Source organism: Homo sapiens, chromosome 7 (genome assembly GCF_000001405.40).
Source record: "Homo sapiens chromosome 7, GRCh38.p14 Primary Assembly".
Classification (NCBI taxonomy): domain Eukaryota; kingdom Metazoa; phylum Chordata; class Mammalia; order Primates; family Hominidae; genus Homo; species Homo sapiens.
This window is the reverse complement of record NC_000007.14, coordinates 135121760-135139487: the sequence shown is the minus strand read 5'-3', so window position 1 is coordinate 135139487 and position 17728 is coordinate 135121760. Positions and strand designations below refer to the sequence as shown.

Sequence of the window (17728 nt, the reverse complement as noted above, 5' to 3'; positions counted from 1 at the left end):
CTAAGAAAGGTCAAATATTAAGAATCTATAAAAAACGTAACAAGCAAAAAACAACCTCATTAAAAAAAAAAGGGCAAAGGACACGAATAGACACTTCTCAAGAGAAGACATACACATGGCCAACAAGCATATGAAAAAATTCTCAACATCACTAATGATTAGATAAATGCAAATCAAAATCACAATGAGATACCATCTCACAACAGTCAGAATGGCTATTGTTAAAGTAAAAAAAAACTAGTGAGGTTGCAGAGGAAAGGGAATGCTTACACACTGTTGGCAGGAATGTACATTAGTTCAGTCACTTTGGAAAGTGGTTTGGGGATTTATCAAAGAACTTAAAACACAACTATCATCTGACCCAGCAATCCCATTATGCAGTATATATCCAAAGGAATATAAATTGTTCTACCATAAAGACACATGCATGTGTATGTTCACTGTAGCACTATTCACAGTAGCAAAGACATAGAATTAACCTAGATGACCATCAATGGTGGACTGAATAAAGAAAATGTGGTACACATATACCATAGAATACTATGCAGCCATATAAAAGAATGAAATAGTGTCCTTTACAGCAACATGGGTGAAGCTGGAGGTCATTATCCTAAGCAAATTAATGCAGGAACAGAAAACCAAATGCCACAAGTTCTCACTTATAAGTGGGAACTAAACATTAGGTACACATGGACACAATGAAGGGAACAATAGACACTAGGGCCTACTTGAGGGTGAAGGGTGGGAGGAGGGTGAGGATCGAAAATCTACCTATTGTGTATTATGCTTATTACATGAATGATGAAATAATCTGTACACCAAATGCCCACAACATGCAATTTACCCATGTAACAAACCTTTATTATTTTGTCTTCCACTTGTTTTCTACCTCCTTCTATTTTAATTGAATATTTTGTATGATTTGATTTTTTTCCTATTTTAGTATATCAATTCTACCTCTTTTTTACCCTTGAATTTACAGGATACATTTACAATGAATCCAATCCTTTCTCAAATAACCCTATACCACTTGCTTCTTTGGTAGTACAAGTATTTTGTAACAGGGTATTCCCAATTCCTCCCTCCGATTCCTTACAACATTGCTGCTATTCATTTCACTTATCAATAAGCTATAATTTCTGAATACACTGTTATTGTTTTGAACAAACTATTATCTGTTAGGTAATTAAGAAAAATAAAAGATTTTATTTTACCTTCATTTATTCCTTTTCTATTGCTTTCCCTTTGTTTACGTAGGCCAGAATTTCTGACCTGTATAATTTTCATCCTTTCTAAAGAATTTCTTTTAACATTAAAAAAAAGAGCAGCTCTAGAGATGACAAATTCCCACAATTTTTGTTTGTCTGAAAAAGTCCATTTCTCTTTCACTTTTGGAGGACAATTTCACTGGATACAGAACTGTAGTCAGCGGTTGTTATGGTCTGATGTTGCATCCCCCAAATTTCATATGTTGCAATCCTAACCCCTAGTGTGATCGTATTAGAAGACAGGACCTTTGGGTGGTAATTAGGTCATGAGGGTGAAGCCCTCATGAATGAGATTAGTGATCATAAGAAGAGACGTGGGATGATCTCTCCCTACCATGCGAGGATACAACAAGAAGGCCACCTGCAAACCAAGATGACTGCCCTCACTGGACACTGGATCTGTTGACATCTTGATCTTGGACTTCCCAGCCTCAGAACTGAGATAAATTTCTATTGTTTCATTAAGCAGCCTAGTTTATGGTATTTTGTTACAGCAGCCTGAGCTGAGACAGTGGTTCTTTAAACCCTTTAAATGTTTCACTCCACTCTCTTCTTTCTTGCATGGTTTCTGAAGAGATGTCTGATGTAATTCTTATCCCTGCTTATCTATACATAAGGTGTTTTTTTCAAGATTTTTTCTTGGTCTTTGATTTTTTTGGTATTTATCATTCCTGGTATTCTGTGAGCTTTCTGGATCTGTGGTTTGGTGTCGTTCATTTTGAGAAATTCTCCGTCATTACTGCTTCAATATTTCTTGTGTTCCTTTTTTTCCTTTACTTCCAGTAGTCCCATTACACGTTACATACCTTTTAAAATTGTCCTGCAGTTTTTGGATATTCTGAATTTTTCATTCTTTTTTGCTCTGCATTTAAGTTTTGCTAGTTTCTATTGACATTGTTTTAAGCATACTGACTCTTTCCTCAGTTGTGTCTTACCTGTTGGGTAGTCCATCATCATTCATTCTGTTACAGTGTTTTTGATTTCTAGCATTTTTTTTTTGTTTCTTAGTTCCCATCTCTCTGCTTATATTACCCATCTGTTCTTGCATTGTCCAATTTTCCCATTAGAACTGTCAGCATATTCATCGTAGTTGTTTTAAATTTCTATGGAAATATATGGAAGGTTTGCCAGAGAAGGCAGCAGTTGAGTTGAATCTTAAAGAAGTAGGGGCTGCCAGGTGGAGGAGATGCTGGGCTGAGAGAATAAATAGCTTTTATGAGAGAGTGGCATGCTCAGAAAACTGAAAGTATTGTAGCATAGTGAGGAAGTGGACTGCCAATCCTCTTACTTTGGGTAAAGCATCTTATATTTGTATCAAATACAAGGAGTGCAATTATGGACCAAGGTAAAATTGTTTAGGTAATATCTGTGCATCCCTAAATCTTCCAGGAAACTGGTTTATCACCTTTTTTGGTCATCCACAAAGACAATACATTCCAGAGTTTACAATTTCAAACTCTTAGGCAGTCGAAGATTCAAATGACATTTCACTGAATTAAAAATATTTTCCCAGAGTTTAGGCTTTTGTCCTGATCTTTGTGGAGAAGGGCCAATGGAATTTTGAGAACTCTTACTCCATCCTGAAGTCAGCTACAATAAATGCTATGATCCGGAACATTAACCTCTGGCTTTCCCAAGCCCGAGCACCTACCTGGCAGAGGGCATCCCAAAAGCAAGTAGACTTCTGCTCTTGCCCAAGATAATCACTAAGGATGAGAATTTTATACCAAAAGTTGGGGTACTCTTTGAGAACCAGGATACTTGCCTTCAAAGCACCATCTAATGTATTTAGAAGATAGCTATTTCCCACCAGACATTAAAGATTCCTGAGGAAATCTATGGTCATGGTCCTTTAAAACATAATAGTTACTCTTTTAACAGTGCAGTGGGCTCTCCTTGGAAACTCTTTAGCTACTAGAAATACTGTTGAGAGTAGACCACTCAACCCCAGATCTTCATAGTTCCACCCAGCTGTAATTAGGCTGTGGCCTGTATTTTTAATGTACCTCTCCTACCTGACCCTTCTTATGCTTAGCCTCATCCTCTAATGGATGCCATTGTTGACCTATGACTCAAGGCTGCTTGATTCTGTTTTCTGACTTACTACATGCATCTTGACTCTTCTGCCTGACATACTTGCTCCTCTGTGTGTCCTTCACAAATCCCTCCCAGTGCTCACTGCCTTATGAATGACAAACTGAGGTGCTGGACTTATTCCAGTGTTCACATGAATAAATGGCTGGAGATGTAAACCAATTCGCTGTAAAGGAAACTGTACATCTTTACACCTTTGCTACATTTTGAGAAATAAAATGATTATTTTAAACCACAGTCTATGCATTTCAGTGCCATGTTGTGCCACACTTTTGCTTTGTGCAACTGGCAACTTTTAATATACAGTATTTTTTCTAATCATTGGAAGTGCACAACTTAACACTTTATCTTATTCTGTAATCATTTTATTCAGGTATGTTTTATCTGTACAATTATGTGGTAATCTCCTAGTAGAGAGAAATGGTTCCTAGCACACTAATGATATAACAGAAAATCAGGAAATGATGTTTGTTGACTAATTGATTAAAGTGTCTAGTAGGGAGGTTAAAATCAGTGACATATTATATGTCATTCCTACTTTGAGTTCTTAAGTTTTTTTGGTGTCGAATGTGTAAGTAGTTTTGGAAGAAATCAAAACTTCAGAGATTTTTTTCCATGCTGATAAAAACTAAATATAAATATCTGCTTTAATATTTTTCCATATTTTCTCTGGATTTCTTTTTAAATCTCTGAAAGATGTTCCCACTACAGAAGATGGGATATCTAAAATTTTTAGTTTATGCATATGCATGTGTAAGGGGAGAGATAGGGAAAGGGGAAGGGGAGGGCTTTCCTTTTTTTCTTTTTACTACATAAGCATATGTTATCCTTCATTCACAGTTCTCAGAGCAGTATAAAGCTAGATTAACTCTCCCTTTGGAACTTCAGATATAAGGTGGGTTGTCCATCATTCTTATTGGCCTGCTCATCCTTATTTTTAGTTAGATGGAGGGCTGTATGCTTAGAGCTTTGCTGGTTAGTTTCTTCAGCTTGAAGACTCTTATATTTTAGAACATTTGCATCCATTCCAAAGCTTGAAGAAGCAGTCTCCCACTTGCTGCTGAGAGGTTTTATGTCTTCATTCTTTATGGCCCAGATTTGAGAATGTTTATTCTTCTTGGGGCCTTTGAGAGGTGATAAACTTTCCAATGACCTGTGGGGCTTAGACTGGACCCATTCTGAAGAGTTTGCCATAACATCCCCTTGGATTACAAAAGGGTGATTTCTGGGTGCTGTCCAAGATGTGCTGTATTTCTTTATATTTCTGCAAGTAGCCGGATTTAGTCTAGAAAAGAAATGAAATACGTGAATTTTTGTCCATCATGGACCTACTTTGTAGTCCTAGGTATGTTGTCATAGTATAAATAATATTTTTCCTTTTAGTAAGTTCATAACTTCTTAAAGTTTAAGAATTTTACCATCATTTAGAAGTCTTCATCTCTGATCATGATTTTTTTTTTAGCACTATTCCAATCCTGTATTTCTAAATGCCTAGAGGATATGTTTATTTGGATACCTACTCTAACCTCAGCCTTCCTAATATAATAGCCACTCTGGGCCCCAGCTCCTTACCTATATATCTAGTTAAAGTAGATGGTCACTAAAAAGTAAAGTAGTTGTTTGCTCTAAAAATCTATTCTGTTTATTCTATTAGAATGGATTCAGTATATATGCTATGAGATTTTTTTCTATAACCAGTAAAAAAATCAACGTGAGTCTAAGAGAGGGAAGTTTTCCTCGGGGGAGCTTTTGTAAACTAATAATTGCAGCCACTTAAAATCTCTGTTTTTTTAGCATTCCATTTTTTAACCATAGAATTTCAGCTATACTTTCAATTAAACTTTTAAATTTTGAGATAACTGTAGACTTAACTGCATTTGAGAGAAGTAATACAGAGAGATCCCATGAACTCTTCACCCAATTTCCCCAAAATAGCTTGCAAAACCATAGAACAATATCACAATCAGGATATTGACATTGATGTAGTCAAGATAGAGAACACTGCCCCCATGTTGCCCTCTTGTAGTACCTGCTTCCCTCCTTTCCCATCCCCTCCTTAATTCCTGGCAACCATTATTAATCTATTATCAAGTTATATTATTTTGTTATTTTAAGAATGTTGCATAAAGGAATCATACTGTATGTAACCTTCTAGGATCAGCTTTTTTTTTTCTCAGAGTAATTGTCTGGAGATTCATCTATGTTGTTTTGTGCATCAGCAGTTCATTCCTTATTATAATTGCTGAGTCTGTGACATGAATGTACCATAGTTGGTTTAATAATTCATCCATTCAATGACATATAGATTATTTCCAGTTTATGGCTCTTATAAATAGTTATACACACAGGTTTTTTTGTGAGTTAATTTTTGTATAAGATGTAAGTTTAAAGTTCATTTTTTTAGCCTATGGATATCCAATTGTTCCAGCACCATTTGTTGAAAAGTCTCTTTTTTCTCCATTGAATTGCTTTTGAATTCCCTATCAAAATCAGTGGAGCAAATTTATGTGGTCTATTTCTTGGTTTTTGCCTCAGTTCCACTGATGTGTATGTTTATTTCTCCTCTAATACTACTGTCTTGATTACTCTAGCTATATAAAAGTTCTTGAAATCAGATAGACTGATCTCTCCCATTTTATCCTTGTTTGTCAAAATTGTTTTTGCTATTTTAATGCATCGGCAGATAAATTCTGGAATAATCTTGTCTATATATACAAAAGATCTTGCTGGGATTTTGATAGGCATCGTGTTAAACTTGTATATTAAGCTGGGAAGAACTGACATCTTTATTGAGGCTTTCAATTTATGAACATGCTACATCTTTCCACTCATTTAGATATTTTAAAATTTCTCTTATTCATGTTGTATACTTTTCAGCATAGAAACCCTGTAAAACCAAGTATTTTTTTTGAGATATTTTGTAATTTTGGTGTTCACATGTTCATTGCTTATTTATAGAAGAGCAATTAATTTTGTACATTTATCTTGTATTCTGAGGCCTAGCATAACTTATTAATTCTAAAGGTTGTGTGTGTGTGTGTGTGTGTGTGTGTGTGTGCACGCATGCGTGCGTGTGTGTTTTGGTAAATTTATTAGGATTTTCTACATAGAGAATAACATCTTTCACAGTAGGGATCATTTTATTTTTTCCTTTCTGATTTGTATGCTTTTTATTTTTTTATTGCCTTATTGCAGTGGCTAGAACTTCTAGCACAATGTTCAATAGAGTGGTGTATTATTCTATTCTCACGCTGCTAATAAAAACATACCCAATGCTGGGTAATTTATAAAGGAAAAAGGTTTAATTGACTCACAGTTCCACATGGCTGGGGAGGCCTCGCAATCTTGGCGGAAGGCAAAGGAGGAGCAAAGTCATGTCTTACATGGTGGCACGCAAGACAGCTTATGCAGGGGAACTCCTATTTATAAAACCATCGGATCTCCTGAGACTTGTTCAGTACCACGAGAAGAGTATGGGGAAACTGTTCCCGTGATTCAATTATCTCCACCTGACCCTGCCTTGACACGTGGGGATTATTACAATTAAAGGTGAGATTTGGGTGGGGACACAGCCAAACTATATCAAGTGGTAAGAATGGACTTTATTGAGTAAGATCCCCTTTATTCCTATGTTTTTCTGAGACTTTTTATCATGGATGGGTACTGAATTCTGTCGAATACCAATTTCTGTGCCAATTAATAGGATCTTGTGATTTTTCTTCTTAAGCTTGCTAATATGAAGGATTTCATCAATTACTTTTTGAATATTAAACTAACCTTGAATTCCTGAAATAGACTTCACTTGGTCATGGTGTATAATTCTTTTTATTTAGAGCTGAATTCTATTTGCTAATATTTTGTTAGATTTAGCTTGTTAAATCTATATTTATGCAAAATCTTATTCTGTCATTTCCTTTTTTGTTTTGCCCTTGTCTGGTTTTGATATCACACTAACAGTGGCTTCATAAAATGAACTGAGAACTCCTATTTTCTGGAAGAAATTGTATAGAATTGGTATTAATTCTTCCTTTATTAGTAAAATTCTCTTCTAAAACCACCTAGGCCAGGTGATTTCTTTTTTAGGGTTTTAAAATTATGAAATCAATTTCCTTATTAGTTACAGGGGTATTCAAATATTCTATTTCATATTGAATGAGTTGGGGTAGTTCATATTTTATTGAGGAAATAATCCATTTTCTGTAAGTTGTCAAATTTGTGTGTAGTGTTTTCTATTAACTCTTTGATGTATGCAGGATTTTTAGTGATATCCTGTTTCATTCCTCATGTTAGTAATTTATGTCTTTTTTTCTTTATTTGTCAGTATTAATAGAAGTTTGTCAATTTTATTGATCTGTTCAAACAACCAGTTGTTTCACTGATTTTCTGTGTCATTTTTCTGTTTTTAATTTTATTAATTTCTGCTCTTATCTTTATTATCTTCTTTCTGCTTGCTTTGAGTTTATTTGCTTTTCTTTTTATAGGTCCCTGAGGTGGGAGCTTAGATTATTGATTTCAGATGTTTTCTCATTTTTTAGCATATGCAGTTAGTTCTATAAATTTCTGTATCAGTACTGCTTTAGCTATATCTCACTTATTTTAATATATTATAGTTTCATTTCCATTAATTTAAATACATATTTTTACTTCCTTTGAGAATTTTTTTTTTAATTTTTGTTTCCTTTATTTCTTCTAAAAAAAGCCAGGATACATGTGCAGAACGTGCAGGTTTGTTACATAGGTATATGTGTGCTATGGTGGTTTGCTGCACCTATTGACACATCCTCTATGTTCCCTCCCCTCACCCCTCACCCCGCAACAGGCCCTGGTGTGTGATTTTCCCCTCTATGTGTCCATGTGTTCTCACTGTTCAACTCCCACTTATGAGTGAAAACATGTGGTGTTTGGTTTTCTGTTCCTGTATTAAGTTTGCTGAAGATGATGGCTTCCAGCTTCATCCACGTCCCTGGAAAAGACATGATCTCATTCCTTTTTTTTCTAATTACAAGATGATTTTTAAATTTATTTTTATTTTTAAGATTAAGCATCCTCTTTGACAATCCAAAAACATAGTCCTTGCTCACTCTGGACACACACACCTAAAACAGTTAAAAGCAATTCTTCAATTTTCAATGACAAAGTAGGAAAAAAACAATATGTTCTCAAGCTGCAGTTCAATTTTCTGTTCTCTTTTCCAAAAAATTTTACTTTGCTTCTAAGCCACCCACCAACGATAACGAAAGACAATTTTTCAAAAGGCCAACAAAACCCAGAAAAAGGAACAGTTATCAATTCAAAATTATCACCCAAAACACTGCTGTTGCAAAAAAAGAGTATGAAGCCAAATTCCCATAGCTTGTTAGAGAAGACCTTTAAAAATAATTCAGAAAATTAGGACTGGAACTACAGTGGTATAGACAGGTTATACTGTCACTATATGCATATACAGTGGTAAATGCAGATAATTCAAGAACATTCAGCTTGGGATGAATATATGAATAATATGATTATATTATATTAAATTAATATATTATTAAGCTTTCTCCTATTCCAGCAGAGGAAATAAAAACATGTGTTGCTGGAATTAATATTAAGACTGTCCTTACAAACAGAAGGTAGGGCAAAGGTAAAGAGAGAGAATGTGGAACAAAAGTAGCGAAGACAAGTCATTTTGAATCTAGGCTCTAACACCCAGGAAAGTTGAATAGAACTTAAATTCTTCTGAGCCAGTATCACTAAATTCTAGATTTGCCCTGAAACCAGTGGAGCATATACACCATTAATAAATATCAAGTGCCCCATAGCGTTTGTGGTATTAAAACATATTTTTAAATTATTATAAATTTCCATTCTGAAAAGCAGGTCAAAATGACACTGGACCATCCAGTCAGTTACAGAGTAAAGGGCTTCCTCCAGAGAGAACTGACTTGGCAGAAATTTAGGTTGGTAAGAATGTGATTAACATGGAGTAAATGAGATCAGATTCTCAGTATAATTTTCATAAGGCTTCTACCTACCCCAGTTGTAAGGAGTAGTACTGAGGGAACTCCAACAGAATGTCTTAGAGGGAAGCTTCTCAGAGACAAAGGGTCTGTAAGTTTAACTCTTGACCCCTCTTCTCCTTATGTAAAGCTTGGGGAAGGCAATAAATATTTAATTTTTAACTATTCAGAGCTTTGGACACATTATAATATTTAATATTCTGTAGTTTCATTTTCTGAACCCTTGGCTTATAATTTTTCTCAACTTGCATTAAAAAATGTATGAATGCACCCTCTTCAGTAGTACCACATGAAAATATAAATCTTGTTCTTCCATATCTTCTACACAGGAAGACTGAATGAGTAGTACCCTAAATATCCTGCAGGGTTACTTTGTGTACTTGACAAAAGATTAGGGAAAACCAATCCACTTCCATATCTTGAGCAGTAGTTAACTAGTCTTCAATCTCATCTTCCCAAATATCTTCATCAACATCCACAGCATAAAACAGCTGTTTAAGACATGTTGAAGCAGGATCAGTGAAATGTTTGTAAGGGTTTGCTCTAGAGAGAGAACTCATGCAAATCCAACAGAAATATTGCATACAGCCAGTACATGTCATCTTGTTATATCCATCTAATTTCTCTATGGGAGTTCCACAACATGGTCAGTTCTTGAAGTTTTTCTCTAGCCACTCCTTACTTTCCATCTCTTCCAGTGCCTTCTGAATCACCCTCTTATCATACCTTTGTTCCAAAAGTCTTTTATTGGCCTTATCTGCTTGCAGGTATTCATTTAGTAAGTCTATTAATTTCTCTGCAGTCACCTTACATGGAGAGACCCCATGGTAGGTCAACCTGCACAAGGTACAGAAGGCAAAATTGCAGCTGGAGCAGATACCCATGATGTAGCCAGGCTCCTGCATCACAGGCAGCTGGCAGCATGCGTGGGGGCAGTACACCACATCTGCCATCAGGTCCAAGGTGGACTGGAGGAGAAGGCAGTCATAATAGGCAAATAACTCTGCTTCCACTAGCTCTTTGACCTGACCAGTAGTGGCCACTGAAGGGCACTTTGGTTCTGGGCAGTTGAGGCATTGAACCTGGCCATCTCTGATCTGGATTTCAAAGTAGTCCTTCAGACAGTCTTTGCAGTACACATGCCTGCACTCCAAGAAGTACATGCATTCACTACCCAGCTTCTTACAGAAACAGATATTGCACAGGAACAAATTACTATTAAAGCATTTTATCTGCTGAGCTTGATCAAAGTCCAAGATTTCCTGGATCATATTTAACAATGATTCCACATCCTGCACACAGCTGTCTCATCCACAGTTTCCTCTTGGTCTGTATCAGATCCAGAAGTTCCTCCAAAATCTAGCTCTGTGTTGGGAGAGGCTTGAGCTGTCCTTCTCTGCACTTTTTTTCTGAGAATCAATCTTGAGCTCAAAAGGAGAGACAATATTCAGGTATACTAGGGTCTCTTCCTTAAGAAATTGCATCCAGGCAAACGGGATCACGCTGCCAGGGTGTTCTTCCCATAGAGCAGATAGCGCTCACAAACATCTTGAAATTCTATGGCAAATCCAAATAGATCCTGGTTTCTCCACCTTGGACAGACTGCTTTTCTAAATTCATCTCCATCGTAAATACTCACTGGGGCCAGCAATTCATCCTCTTGAGCTTCTTGGTCTTCTGACATTTAATTTTCTGAGGAACAAAACCAAGATGACCATGAGAGTGATCTCTGATCATCCTCACTGCTACACTCCCACCAGGGCCATGACAGTTTACAAATGCCTTGTTGTTTTGTTTTTTTTTTTCGTTTTTTTTTTTTTTTTTTTTTTTTTTTTGAGATGGAGTCTCACTCTGTTGCCCAGGCTGGAGTGCAGTGGTGCCATCTCGGCTCACTGCAACCTCTGCCTCCTGGGTTCAAGCAATTCTCCTGTCGCAGCCTCCCGAGTAGCTGGGACTACAGGCACTCACCACCACACCTGGCTAATTTTTGTATTTTTAGTAGAGACGGGGTTTCACCATATTGGCCAGGCTGGTCTCAAACTCCTGACCTTGTGATCCACCCACCTTGGCCTCCCAAAGAGCTGGGATTATAGGCGTGAGCCACCGTGCCTGGCAGATCCCATTCCTTTTTATGGCTGCATAGTATTCCATGGTGTATATGGCCACATTTTCTTTATCCAGTCTATCACTGATGGGTATTTGGGTTGGTTCCATGTCTTTGCTATTGTAAACAGTGCTGCAATAAACATATGTGTGCATGTGTCTTTATAGTAGAATGATTTATATTCCTTTGGGTATATACCCAGTAATGGGATTGCTGGGTCAAATGGTAGTTCTGGTTCTAGATCCTTGAGGAATCGCCATACTGTCTTCCACAATGGTTGAACTAATTTACACTCCCACCAGCAGAGTAAAAGCATTCTTATTTCTCTGCAGCCTACCCAGCCATCTATTGTTTCTTGACTTATTAGTAATTGCCATTCTGACTGATGTGAGATGGTATCTCATTGTGGTTTTGATTTACGTTTCTCTGATGATCAGTGTGATCAGTGATGTTGAGTTTTTTTTTTTTTTTTAGACGGAGACTTGCTCTGTTGCCAGGCTGGAGTGCAGTGGTGCAATCTTGGCTCACTGCAACCTCCGCCTCCCGGGTTCAAGCAACTCCCCTGCCTCAGCCTCCCGAGTAGCTGGGACTACAGGCGTGCGCCACCACACCCCGGCTAATTTTTTGTATTTTAGTAGAGATGGGGTTTCATGTTGGCCAGGATGGTCTCGATATTCTGACCTCGTGATCCACCCACCCTGGCCTCCCAAAGTGCTGGGATTATAGGCGTGAGCCACCACACCCAACCATTGAGCTTTTTTACATATGCTTGTTGGCTGCATGAATGTCTTCTTTTGAGAAGCGTCTTCATATCCTTTGCCCACTTTTTGATGGGGTTGTCTGTTTTTTTCTTGTAAATATGTTTAAGTTCCATGTAAATTCTGGATATTAGACCTTTGTCAGATGGGTAGATTGCAAACATTTTCTCCCATTCTGTAGGTTGCCTGTTCACTCTGATGCTGGTTTCTTTTGCTATGCAGAAGCTCTTTAGTATAATTAGATCCCATTTGTCAATTTTGGCTTCTGTTGCAATTGCTTTTGGTGTTTTGTCATGAAGTCTTTACCCATGCCTATGTCCTGAATGGTATTGCCTAGGTTTTCTTCTGGAGTTTTTCTGGTTTTGGGTTTTACATTTAAGTCTTTAATCCATCTTCAGTTAATTTTTGTATAAGGTGTAAGGAAGGGGTCCAGTTTCAGTTTTCTGCACATGGCTAGCCAGTTTTCCCAGCATCACTTATTGAACAGGGAATCCTTTCCCCATTGCTTGTTTTTGTCAGGTTTGTCAAAGATCAAATAGTTGTAGATGTGTGGTATTATTTCTGAGGTCTCCGTTCTGTTGCATTGGTCTATATATCTGTTTTGGTTACTGTAGCCTCGTAGTACAGTTTGAAGTTAGGTAGTGTGATACCTCTCCAGCTTTGTTCCTTCTGCTTAGGATTGTCTTGGCTATTCGGGGTTTTCTTTGATTCCATATGAAATTTAAAGTAGTTTTTTCTAAATCTGTGAAGAATGTCAGTGGTAGTTTGATGGGAAAAGTGTTGAATCTATAAATTACTTTGGGCAGTACTGCCATTTTCATGATATTGATTCTTCCTATCCACGAGGATGGAATGTTTTTCCGCTTGTTTGTATCCTCTCTTGTTTCCTTGGTGGTCTGTAGTTCTCCTTGAAGAGGTCCTTCACATCCCTTGTTAGCTGTATTCCTAGGTGTTTTATTCTCTTTGTAGCAATCGTGAATGGGAGTTCATTTATGATTTGGCTCTCTGCTTATCTATGTTGGTGTAAAGGAATGCTTGTGATTTTTGCACATTGATTCTGTATTCTGAGACTTTGCTGAAGTTGCTTATCAGTTAAGGAGTTTTGGGGCTGAGATGTTGGGGTTTTCTAAATATAAAATCATGTCATCTGCAAACAGAGACCATTTGACTTCCTCTCTTCCTGTTTGAATTCCCTTTACTTCTTTCTCTTGCCTGATTGCCCTGGCCAGAGCTTCCAATACTATGTTGAACAGGGGTGGTGAGAGAGGGCATCCTTGTCTTGTACTGGTTTTCAAAGGGAATGTGTCCAGCTTTTGCCTATTCAATATGATATTGGCTATATATTGTCATAAATAGCTCTCATTATTTTGAGATATGTTCCATCAATACCTAGTTTATTGAGAGTTTTTAACATGAAGGGATGTTGAATTTTATCAAAACTCTTTTTTGCATCTATTGAGATAATTATGTGGTTTTTGTCTTTGGTTCTGTTTATGTGATGGATTATGTTTATTGATTTGCATATGTTGAACCAGCCTTGCATCCCAGGGATGAAGCCAACTTCATCATGGTGGATACGTTTTTTGATATGCTGCTGGATTCGGTTTGCCAGTATTTTATTGAGGATTTTCGTATTGATGTTCATCAGGAATATTGGTCTGAAGTTTTCTTTTTTTTGTTGTGTCTCTTCCTGGTTTTGGTATCAGGATGATGGTGGCTTCATAAATTGAGTTAGGGAGGAGTCCCTCCTTTTCAATTGTTTGGAGTAGTTTCAGAAGGAATGGTACCAGCTCTTCTTTGTACTTCTGGTAAAATTCAGCCGTGAATCCGTCTGGTTCTGAGCTTTTTTTTGCTTGGTAGGCTATTAATTATTGCCTCAATTTCAGAACTTGCTATTGGTCTATTCAGGGATCCGACTTCTTGGTTTAGTCTTGGGAGGGTGTGTGTGTCCAGGAATTTCTCCATTTCTTCTAGATTTTCTAGTTTATTTGCATCAAGGTGTTGATAGTATTCTCTGATGGTAGTTTATATTTCTGTGGGATCAGTGGTGATATCCCCTTATCATTTTTATTGTGTCTATTTGATTTTTCTCTCTTTTCTTCTTTATTTGTCTAGCCAGTGGTCTATTTTGTTAATTTTTTTAAAAAAACAGCTGCTGGAGTCAGTGATTTTTGGGGGAGTTTTTTGTGTCTCTATCTCCTTCAATTCTGCTCTAATCTTAGTTATTTCTTGTCTTCTGCTAGCTTTTGGATTAGTTTGCTCTTGCCTCTCTAGCTCTTTTAATTGTGATATTTGGGTGTGGATTTGAGATCTTTCTCGCTTTCTGATGTGGGTGTTTAGTGCCATAAATTTCCCCCTTAACACAATGCTTTAGCTGTGTCCCAGAGATTGTGGTACATTGTCTCTTTGTTCTCATTGGTTTCAAAGAACTTCTTGATTTCTGCTTTAATTTCATTATTTACCGAGGAGTCATTCAGGAGCAGATTGTTCAATTTCCATGTAATCGTGTGGTTTTGAGTGAGTTTTTTAATCCTGAGTTGTAATTTGATTGCACTGTGGTCTGAGAGACTGTTTGCTATGATTTCAGTTCTTTTGCATTTGTTGAGGACTGTTTTACTTCCAATTATGTGGTCAGTTTTAGAATAAGTGCCATGTGGCACAGAGAAGAACGTATATTCTGTTGATTTGGGGTGGAGATTTCTGTAGATGTCTATTAGATCCACTTGATCCAGAGCTGAGAGTTCAAGTCCTGAATATCCTTGTTAATTTTCTGTCTTGTTGATCTGTCTAATATTGACAGTGGGGTGTTAAAGTCTTCCACTATTATTGTGTGGGAGTCTGTCTCTTTTTGGGTCTCTAAGAACTTGTTTTATGAATCTGGGTGCTCCTGTATTGGGTGCATATATATTTAGAACAGTTAGCTCTTCTTGTTGAATTGTTCCCTTTACCATTATGTAATACCCTTCTTTGTCTTTTTTGATTTTGTTGGTTTAAAGTCTATTTTGTCAGAGACTAGGATTGCAACCCCTACTTTTTTTTTTTTTGCTTTCCATTTGCTTGGTAAATTTTTCTCCATCCCTTTATTTTGAGCCTATGTGTGTCTTTGCACATAAGACAGGTCTCCTGGATGCAGCACACCAATGGGACTTGACTCTTTATCCAATTTGCCAGTCTGTGTCTTTTAACTGGGGCATTTAGCCCATTTACATTTAAGGTTAGTATTGTAATGTGTCAATTTGATCCTGTCATCATGATGCTATTTGGTTATTTTGTGCACTAATTGATGCAGTTTCTTCATAGTGTCATTGGTCTTTATATTTTGGTGTGGTTTTGCAGTGGCTGGTACTGGTTTTTGTTTTTCATATTTAGTGCTTCTTTCAGGAGCTCTTGCAAGGCAGCCATGGTGGTAATGAAACCCCTCAGTATTTGCTTGTCTGGAAAGGATTTGATTTATCCTTTGCTTATGAAGATTAGTTTGGCCACATATGAAATTCTGGGTTGAAATTTTTTTTCTCTAAGAATGTTGAATATTGACTCCCAATCTTTTCTGGCTTGTAGAGTTTCTGCTGAGAGGGCCGCTGTTAGTCTGATGGGCTTCCCTTTGTAGATGACCTGGCCTTTCTCTCTGGCTGCCCTTAACATTTTTTCCTTCATTTTGACCTTAGAGAATCTGAAGATTATGTGTCTTGGGGTTGATCTTCTCATGGAATATCTTAGTGATGTTCTCTGTATTTCCTGAATTTGCATATTGGCCTGTCTTGCGAGGTTGGAGAAGTTCTCCTGGATAATATCATAAAGCGTGTTTTCCAACTTGTTTCCATTCTCCGTCTCCCTCAGGTACTCTGATCAATCGTAGGTTTAGTCTTTTTATGAAGTCCCACATTTCTTGGAGGCTTTGTTGATTCCTTTTTATTCTTTTTTCTCTAGTCTTGTCTGCATGCCTTATTTCAGCAAGGTTGTCTTCAAACTCTGATATCCTTTCTTCTGCGTGGTCGATTCGGCTATTGATACTTGTGTATGCTTCACAAGGTTCTTGTGCTGTTTTTCAGCTCCACCAGGTCATTTATGTTCCTCTCTAAACTGGTTATTCTAGTTAGCAGCTACTCTAACCTTTTATCAACGTTCTTAGCTTCTTTGCATTAGGTTAGAACATGCTCCTTTAGCTCAGAGCCGTTTTTTATTACTCATCTTCTGAAGCCTACTTCTGTCAATTTGTCTGTCTCATCCTCCAACCAATTCTGTGCCATTGCTGGAGATACATTGCGATCATTTGGAGGAGAGGAGGCACTCTGGCCTTTTGGGTTTTCAGTGTTTTTTCATTAATTCTTTCCCATCTTCATGAGTTTGTCTAGTTTTGATCTTTGAGGCGCTGATCCTTGGATGGGGTTTTTCTGGGGGCTTGTTTGTTGTTGTTGATACTGTTGTTGTTGCTTTCTATTTGTTTTTCTTTCATTGGTCAGGTCCCTTTTCTATAGGGCTGCTGCTGTTTGCTGGGGTTTCACTTCAGGCCCTCGTCATCTGGTTCACTCCTGGGCCTGGAGATGTCACTCAAGGAGGCTGGAGAATAGCAAAGAAGGGTGCCTGCTCCTTCTTCTGGGATCTCTGACCTCAAGGGGTACCAGCCTGATGCCAGCAGTATTGCTCACGTATAGGGTATCTGACAACCCCTGTTGGAGGGTCTTACCCAGTTGGGTGGCAGGGGGAACAGGACCCATTTAACGAAGCACTTTGTCCCTTGGTTGGGGGGGTGTGCTTCGCTGGGGGGAAACCCACTTGTCTGGGCTGCCCAGATTCCTCAGAACTACCAGGAGGAAAGGCTAAGTCTGCTGGTCTGCAAAGACTGTGGTCACCCCTCCCGCTAGGGGCTCAGGCCCAGGGAGATCTGGGTTCTGTCCCTGAGCCTCTGGCTGGAGTTATTGAAGTTCCTGCAGGAAAGCCCCACCCAATGAGGAAGGATGGGTCAGGGTCAGGCCTGAAGAGGCACTCTGGCCACAGTCAGCCACAGTCAGTGTGTTGGGCTTTGGGGAACATGTCTTGGAACCAAGCTGTTCAGCCTCCCTGACTCCAGCAGAGGAAAAGCACAGCCTGGAGCTATAGAGATGGATGATGCCCTTCCACCACCCAGGGAGCTTAGTGTGTTAGGCAGTTGTGAGTCCCAGTGCTGGCTGCTGCCCCTCCCCCAAGGAACTCAAACGGCTTAGACAGCAGGCAGACACAGCTGTGGTGCTGGTCATGCCTCCCCTGGGGAGCTCTGTAGGCTTAAGCAGATTCCAGCTAAGAGGCTATTGAGAAACTTCACGGCTCTGGGGTTGGGACGCTAGGCCCTGGTGGCGTGGGTCGTGAGTGGGATCTTCCAATCTATAGGTTTCACAGTTCTGTGGAAAAAGCACGGTTTCCCCGGCTGGGTAGCACACTCACTCACCACCTCCCTTGGCTGGGGATATAGGGGGGTGCTCTCCTGCCCTGTGTGGCTCTCAGGTGGGCCACTGCACTACACTGTTCTTC

At 38.4% G+C, this 17728-nt stretch overlaps 2 protein-coding genes and 1 pseudogene across 9 annotated transcripts in view; 1 reads left to right on the top strand and 2 right to left on the bottom strand.

Annotated features, from left to right (window-relative positions):
* Positions 1-17728, top strand: part of CYREN (cell cycle regulator of NHEJ) — an 80167-nt gene that overhangs the window by 32982 nt on the left and 29457 nt on the right. The gene's annotated exons all lie outside the window — the stretch shown is intronic.
* The window catches only part of AGBL3 (AGBL carboxypeptidase 3), a 149271-nt gene continuing 135252 nt past the window's right edge, over positions 3710-17728 (bottom strand). For all 7 annotated transcript variants that reach the window (NR_144293.1, NM_178563.4, NM_001345853.1 and 4 more), the window contains one exon: positions 3710-4647. Coding sequence is in view for 6 of the 7 variants with exons in the window: in NM_178563.4 (NP_848658.3) it covers positions 4227-4647 (421 nt within the window). In the remaining variant the exon portion in view is untranslated. The remainder of the gene's footprint in view (positions 4648-17728) is intronic.
* On the bottom strand, positions 9599-11049 carry RNF14P4 (RNF14 pseudogene 4; annotated as a pseudogene).